General features: G+C 54.0%; 1 protein-coding gene across 1 annotated transcript, besides 2 other annotated features; it reads left to right on the plus strand.

The window, feature by feature from the left end:
* Positions 56–175: an enhancer, noted in NCBI's record as "active region_13817". NCBI's record gives its function as "activates an Ori minimal core promoter by ATAC-STARR-seq in GM12878 lymphoblastoid cells {active_cell/tissue: GM12878}" and the evidence as "EXISTENCE:reporter gene assay evidence [ECO:0000049][PMID:35858748]".
* Positions 216–565: a silencer, noted in NCBI's record as "silent region_9938". NCBI's record gives its function as "represses an Ori minimal core promoter by ATAC-STARR-seq in GM12878 lymphoblastoid cells {active_cell/tissue: GM12878}" and the evidence as "EXISTENCE:reporter gene assay evidence [ECO:0000049][PMID:35858748]".
* On the plus strand, positions 382–6,363 carry VMAC (vimentin type intermediate filament associated coiled-coil protein). The gene is made up of 2 exons (NM_001017921.4): positions 382–591; positions 4,334–6,363. Exons 1-2 carry the CDS (start codon positions 401–403, stop codon positions 4,650–4,652), a joined length of 510 nt encoding a protein of 169 aa, NP_001017921.1. The 5' UTR covers positions 382–400; the 3' UTR covers positions 4,653–6,363.
* Positions 6,364–6,689: the final 326 nt, after the last annotated feature.

Raw genomic sequence — 6,689 nt, forward strand, 5'->3', positions numbered from 1 at the left:
CGGGGGGCGTGGTCAGGCTTGCTGTTTCGCGGAGTCCGGGCCAATCCTGGTGTTAGCTTCCAAGTAGGGAGGGGACAGTATCGAAGGTGTGACCAATCTTGTTTCCAGAGCCTGAGTTGCGCGAGCCGCCAAAGGATGTGGCCAGCCTGGGGGCGTGGCTGTCAAGATCTTGTCCAATCCTAGAGTGAGCCCAAACTCAGGGGCGGAGTTTCATGATCCCGGAACCGGTGGTAGTGTTTGGGTTTGAGGAGAGCACGACCCAGCCCTCTGGGGTGGGGTCTAGCGGGGTCAGCGACCAATCGCGCCGAGGTCTAGTGGGGCGGGGCCCTCCCGGGGGCGGGGCCTGTGCCAGTTCCGGGCCGCCTGGGGGCGTGGCCGGGCCTGTACAGCAGCCTGGGCCATGTCGGCGCCGCCGGCCCTGCAGATCCGGGAGGCAAACGCACACCTGGCAGCCGTGCACCGGCGCGCAGCGGAGCTGGAGGCGCGGCTGGACGCGGCGGAGCGCACGGTGCACGCCCAAGCCGAGCGCCTGGCCCTCCACGACCAGCAGCTGCGCGCCGCCCTAGACGAACTGGGTCGCGCCAAGGACCGGTGAGGCCCGGGGCCGGCCAGGTGGACTTCACCGAGGCGGTAGGCGGAGGCAGAGCCGAGGCTGGAAAGCGAGGAAGGGCAGGGGGAACCGTGTGCACTTGTATAGACGCTAGACTGAGTATCGGATTGATAAAAACACCAAAAAACTCGAATTAGTAATCAGTATGTAAAGTTGCGAGAAGTGACACAGGTGTGGACCTCTAACTTCAAACAGGCCCACTTTCCCACAGGTGCTGAGCGACGCAGGGACCACAGACCGCCCAGCGTAGGCATTGGGAGCCATAGCAGGCTCTTCAGCAGGGGAGGAGGGGATCATATCAGCATTTTAACTTTTAAAATTTATTATTATTTTTTTGAGACGGAGTTTCGCTCTTGTCGCCTAGGCTGGAGTGCAGTGGCGTGATCTCAGCTCACTGCAACCTCCACCTCCCAGATTCAAGCGATTCTCCTGCCTCAGCCTCCCGTGTAGCTGGGATTACAGGCGCCCGCCACCACGCCCGGTCGATTTTTTGTATTTCTAGTAGAGACTGGTTTTCGTCACGTTGTGCAGGCTGGTCTCTAACTCCTGACCTCAGGTGATCCGCCCGCCTCAGCCTCCTAAAAGTGCTGGGATTACAGGGGTGAGCCACCGCACCCGGCCTAAATTTATTATTTTTGAGGCAGGGCCTCACTCCTATGCCCAGGCTGGAGTGCACCTCGACCTCCGGAGCTCAGGTGATTCTCCCACCTCAGTCTCCCAAGCAGCTGGGACTACAGGCGTCCACCACCACGCATGGCTTATTTTTTGTATTTTTTTGTAGAGACAGTTTTGCCCTGTTGCCCAGTTTGGTCTTGAACTCCTGGGCTCAAGCAGTCCTCCCACCTCACCCTTCCAAAGTGCTGGGATTACAGGCTAAGCCACCATGCCTATCTATTATTTTTGAGAGAGGGTCTTGCTCTGTTGCCCAGGCTGGAATGCAGTGGTGCGATCTCGACTCACTGCAGTCTCACCCTCCCTCCTCAGCCTCTCAAGTAGCTGGGATTACAGGCGTGCGACAGCACACCTGGCTGATTTAAAAAAAAAAATCCTTTAGAAATGGGGTCAGACTATGTTGCCTAGGCTGGCCTTGAACTCCTGGGCTCAAGTGATCCTCCTGCCTCAGCCTCCCGAAGTGCTGGGATTATAGGCACGAGCCACCATGCTGGCCCATATCAGCATTGTTGAAGAGTCCCTCTGACAGCTGAGGATGAAAGAGATGAGACAGGCACCCAGGGAGGTGGGAGGAGCTGGGTCCCAGGTGGGAACTATTACTTCAGAGCTAATTGGACATATTCATTTTTACCGAGCACCTGCTCTGTGCCAGGCACTCATTCATTCGTCTTCATTGAGCACCTACTGTGTGTCAGGCATTCTGCTGAGTACTGGAGCACATCAGTAAGACTTAGCCTTGCCCATTGGGTATCCACAGTCCAGTGGAGAGACAGACATGTCACTGGGCAGTTACATCATTGGTGGCCAGCGGCCATGATGGAGGGGCATATGGGGCTCTGAGGGATCTCAGAGTGAAGGCTTCCCAGAGGAAGAGCCTACTAAGAATAGGTGGGAAAAGATAATGGAAAGGAACGAACTGCAGGAAGAGTGAGGGGACGAAATGAGGGTTCTCATAAGAAAATGCCATAAACTGGCTGGGTGGTGGCTCACGCCTGTAATCCCAGCACTTTGGAAGGCTGAGGCAGGCAGATCACCTGAGGTCAGGAGTTCGAGACCAGCCTGGCCAACATGGCGAAACCCTGTCTCTACTAAAAATACAAAAAAATTAGCTGGGTGTGGTGGCACACGCCTGTAGTCCCAGCTACTCGGGAGGTTGAGGCACGAGAATCGCTTGAACCCAGGAGGCGGAAGTTGCAGTGAGCCGAAATTGTGCCACTGCACTCCAGCCTGGGCAACAGAGAGAGACTCTGTCTCAAACAAACAAAAAAACAAAATGCCATAAATTAAGTGGCTTAAACAAGAGGTTTGTTTCTCAGCGTTCTGGAGGCTGGACGTCCGAGAGCAGGGTGCCAGCATGGTCAGGTTATGGGAGGGCCCTCTTCCGGGCTTGCAGATTTCTGGCTTCTCTCTGTGTCCTCACAGGGCAGAGAGAGCCAGGGAGTTCTTTTGTATCTCTTCATATAAGCACACTAATCCCATCATAGAGACCCCCACCCTGACAACCTCATCTAACCCTAATCACCTCCAAAAAGCTCCATCTCTAAATACCCTTCTGCTATGGTTAGACTTTGTGTTTCCACCCAAATGTCAGCTTGAATTGTAATCCCATAATGCCCACGTGGTGTGGAAGGAACTGGTGGGAGGTAAATGAATCATGGGGGATGGTTTCCCCTTCATGCTATTCTCATGATAGTGAGTGAGTTCTCATGAGATCTGATGGCTGGGCGCAATGGCTCACGCCTATACTCTCAGCACTTTGGGAGGCCGAAGCGGTCAGATCACCTGAGGTCAAGAATTTGAGACCAGCCTGGCCAACATGGTGAAACCCTGTCTCTACTAAAAAAAAAAAAAAAAAAAAAAAAAATTAGCTGGGCATGGTGGCACACGCCTGCAGTCCCAGCTACTGGGGAGGCTGAGGAGGCAGAATTGCTTGAACTCGGGAGGCGGAGGTTGCAGTGAGCCGAGATCACACCACTGCACTCCAGCCTGGATGACAGAGCTAGATTCCGTCTCAATCAATAAGGGAGATCTGATGGTTTTATAAGGGATTCCCCCTTTGCTGGTCTCTCACTGTCTCTCCTGCTGCCCTATAAAGAGGTTCCTTCCATCATGATTGTAAGTTTCCCGAGGCCACCCCCAGCCATGTGGAAATGTGAGTCAATTACACCTCTTTATAAATCACCCAGTATCAGGTATGTCCTTAGAGCATCGTGAGAATGGACTAATACACCTCCCATTGGGGTTAGGACTTCATCATATGAATTTTGGGGAGACAGAAAGATGCAGTTCAGGCTGGGTACAGTGGCTCAGCCTGTAATCCCAGTACTTTGGGAGGCCAAGGCGGGTGGATCACTTGAGGTCAGGAGTTTAAGACCAGTCTGGCCAACATGGCAAAACCTTGTCTCTACTAAAAATACAAAAATCAGTCAGGCATGGTGGCGCATGCCTGTAAACCCAGCTACTCGGGAGGTTGAGGAGGACAGTTTGAACCTGGGAGGCAGAGGTTGCACTGAACTCCAGCCTGGGCAACAGAGCGAGACTGTCTCAGAAATTATAATAATAGGCTGGGCGTGGTGGCTCACGCCTGTAATCCCAGCACTTTGAGAGGCCATGGCGGGTGGATCACGTGGTCAGGAGTTCGAGACCAGCCTGGCCAGCATGGTGAAACCCCATCTCTACTGAAGATACAAAAAACTAGCCGGGCATAGTGGTGGGCACCTGTAATCCCAGCTACTAGGGAGGCTGAGGCAGGAGAATTGCTTGAACCCTGGAGCCGGAAGTTGCAGTGAGCTGAGATTGCACCATTGCACTCCAGCCTGGGCGACAGAGCTAGACTTCGTCTCAAAAAAAAATAATAATAAAATAAAATATAATAATAATAATAAAAACAAAGAAACATTCTGTTCATAACCAGGGAGGACCCTGAGGCAGTGGTGAGGAATGCGGGCTTTATCCCAAAGGTGATGGGGAACCTCTTGCGGGTCCAGAGCAGGGAGGAGCAGGTGCTGTGGTCCTCAGTTCTGTAATCACCTCCTCTTGCCTTCCTGCCAGTGAGATTGCCACACTCCAGGAGCAGCTGATGACCTCAGAAGCCACTGTCCACAGCCTGCAGGCCACCGTGCACCAGAGGGACGAGCTCATTAGGCAGTTGCAGCCCCGGGCTGAGCTGCTGCAGGACATCTGCCGCCGCCGGCCACCCCTGGCTGGGCTGCTGGATGCCCTGGCTGAGGCTGAGCGCCTGGGGCCCCTGCCGGCCAGTGACCCCGGCCACCCACCCCCCGGTGGGCCTGGTCCACCCCTTGACAACAGCACTGGGGAAGAGGCGGACAGGGACCACCTCCAGCCTGCAGTGTTTGGGACCACAGTGTGAGCCCGGAATGCAGATTACAGAATGGAGACAGAAAGCCACTGCTGTCAGTGTCCTTGGGAGTCACCAGCACCCTGCAGGGGGACCCTACGGCAGAGCCAAAGTCCTGTCTAAGCATCAGAACAGGCTGAACAGTCAAAAAGTTTTCAAATAGGCCCACAGGCCAGGTGCAGACGTTTAACCCAGACAGAAGTGTTCTTGTTTGTTTTTAAGCTTTGAATCAGTCACCCTTGCTAAAAACCTGGCAATGCAAACACAAAGATCTGGATTTCTGGCAAGACTTGGCCAAGCTTGCCTGGAGTTCAGGGCACCCTCTTTAGCCAGGGTGTGAGTTTCTGTTTTTTGTTTTTTTTTTTTTAAGACAGAGTCCCACTCTGTCGCCCTGGCTGGGGTGCAGTGGTGCGATTTTGGCTAACTGCAACCTCCGCCTCCCAGGTTCAAGCGATTCTCCTGTCTCATCCTTCAGAGTAGCTGGGATTACAGGCGCCCACCACCACACCCGGATATTTTATATTTTTGGTAGAGACCGGGGAGGGGAGGGGGTTTCACCATGTTGACCAGGCTGGTCTCAAACTCCTGACCTTAGGTGATCCACCCGCCTCGGCCTTCGAAAGTGCTGCAGTTATAGGTGTAAGCCACCGCGCCCGGCCCTAGCCTAGCTTTTGTAGCATGCAACTGTCTCCTTTTTATACGCCCTAAAGAATATATTTTTGAACTCCTTGTTTCTGCGCTGTCCTTCTTAGCCCAGGACATTCAGGGTGCTTTGCTTGTTGTCAAACCAGGGAAAGGAGAAAACTCCTGTGCCTTTCTGGGCCAGCCTGTCACCCTGGCCTGGTCGGCAGCCATTCCCCTACCTCCTCACTCAGGAACTGTCACACCAGGAACCGGCGAGGGGCACAGCCTGTTTCAGACCAGAAAGGTCGGAGGCCACCCACGGCCTTCAGGATGGCGCCCGCCTGCCTGCCTGGCAACAGTGACCCCTCAGTGCAGTAACAATGGGCCCATTTTCTCCTCTGGATGAACAAGGAGGGGGGTTGTTTGTACAAAGGAAAGGCAGGCTGGGGCCTGTCTGTGCTCAAGAATAAACCGGATGATTTCCTGGCCTGGGGGCAAGAGGGAGGCCCTCTGTGTTATTTGTGCCTCCTGGTAGGGTCCTGCTGGGCCAGGTAGAATCTAGGGAGTGTAGGCCAAGCACTCTCTACAGCGATTGCATCTAATCTTCGAGTTTCCCTGTAGACACAGGCTTTGTCCTCATTTTACAGCTGTGGAAAGTGAGGCCCAGGCCGGGCGCGGTGTCTCACGCCTGTAATCCCAGCACTTTGGGATGCGGGTGGATCACCTGAGGTCAGGAGTTCGAGACCACCCTGGCCAACATGGTGAAACCCCGTCTCTACTAAAAATACTAAAATTAGCCGGGCTTGGTGGCGGGTGCCTGTAATCCCAGCTACTGAACCCGGGAGGCGGAGGTTGCAGTGAGTGGAGATTGCACCACTGCACTCCAGCCTGGGAGACAGAGTGAGACTCAGTCTCAAAGAAAACAACAACAACAACAACAACAACAACAACAACAACAAACAGAGGCCCAGAGGTGTGAAGGGAACACACTCCGGGTCTGGAGGGCCAGGGCCACTTCCAATTCTGGGGGAAGTTATTGCTGAAATTCTGTTTTCTTTCTTTCTTTCTTTTTTTTTTAAAGAGACAAAGTCTCACTGTTGCCCAGGCTGGAGTGCAATGGTGTGATCACAACTCACTGCAGCCTCAAAATCCTGGTCTTGGCTGGGCCAGTGGCTCACACCTATAATCTCAGCACTTTGGGAGGCCAAGGCAGGTGGATCACCTGAGGCCAGGAGTTCAAGACCAGCCTGACCAACATGGTGAAACTCCGTCTCTACTAAAAACACAAAAATTAACCGGGTGTGGTGGCGCGTGCCTGTAATCCCAGATACTCGGGAGGTTGAGGCAGGAGAATCACTTGAACCCGGGAGATGGAGGCTGTAGTGAGCCGAGATTGTACCACTGCACTCCAGCTTGGGCGACAGA

Source organism: Homo sapiens, chromosome 19 (assembly GCF_000001405.40).
Source record: "Homo sapiens chromosome 19, GRCh38.p14 Primary Assembly".
NCBI lineage: Eukaryota > Metazoa > Chordata > Mammalia > Primates > Hominidae > Homo > Homo sapiens.